The sequence below is a fragment of the Homo sapiens genome, chromosome 13 (assembly GCF_000001405.40).
Source record: "Homo sapiens chromosome 13, GRCh38.p14 Primary Assembly".
Lineage (NCBI taxonomy): Eukaryota > Metazoa > Chordata > Mammalia > Primates > Hominidae > Homo > Homo sapiens.
The window spans coordinates 104,115,597-104,116,819 of record NC_000013.11 but is presented as its reverse complement, the minus strand read 5'-3'; positions in this window follow the sequence as shown (position 1 = coordinate 104,116,819).

Here is a 1,223-nt window from a genome sequence, read left to right as displayed (position 1 = left end):
TGTCTTTTCAATAAACAATGCTAGAATAACTGAACATGAAAAAAAAATTACCATTCTCCTTACTTATAAATTTATCTGAGGTGAATCACAGACATAAATGTAAAATATAAAGCTGTAAGCCAACTAGATGTAAGCATAGGTGGATATTTTCGTGACCTTTAGGTAGGCAGAGATTTTTGGAGTGTTCACTAAAAGTAATAACTGTATAAGGATTGATTAATAAAACTTTATCAAATTAAAATGTTCTGCTTATGATAAAATATTATTAAAATTATTGGCAAACCATGAACTCGGTGAAAACAGCTGCAAAGTTTGCATTCAGAATATTTGAAGGAAATATATAAAAACAACGGCCAAATTGAAAATGGGGAAAAGACTTGAGTAGACAACCTGAAAAAGAAGATATGTCAGTGGTCAATTAGCATCTAAAGAAATAAATGCTCAACATCTTTATCTTACGGGGAAGGTAAGCTTAATCTAAATAAAATATAATTTCTCAATAAATAGAATTACCAAAGTTAAAAAAATTGACAATAATACGTGGCAGTGGGAAGAAAGAGTTTTTGGTATTTATTTACATTTCTTATGGGCCTAGAAAAAAAAATCTTTGGAGAACTCTTTGCAGTTTCATCTAAAGTTAAACATACTCCCACTTTCTGACCCAATGATTCCTCTAGTAGGTATTTACCCCATAAAAATAAAAACATTGGTCCTAAAATATGACCATACAGGAACAGTCATTGTAGTCTCATTCATATAAGCCCTAGACTAGAAACAACACTAGTGTTCACCAATATATGAATGAGTAATTGAATATCTTATATTTACATAATGAAATATCACTAAGCAATTAAAAAATAACTGTGAATACATTAAAAATGTGAATGATTTTCATAATCATTATGTTGAGCAAAAAAGCTGGATACAAAAATATATGTGTATATGTATATATGTATACACATATACACATATATGTGTATGTATATACACATGTATATTCACATATATATACATATACACATATGCATATTTTGCATTTATACATTTATACATACAGTCTGTGAATCTATTTTTATGATGTTCCAGAACAAACAAAACCAATCTGGGGTGATAGAAATCAGAATGGTGTGGGCAGTGGGAGCCTGACTCAGGGGCCCAAGGCAACGTTCTAGGTAATACACATGTTCTCAATTTGCTTTGGACAGTGTTTTCACAGCGATATT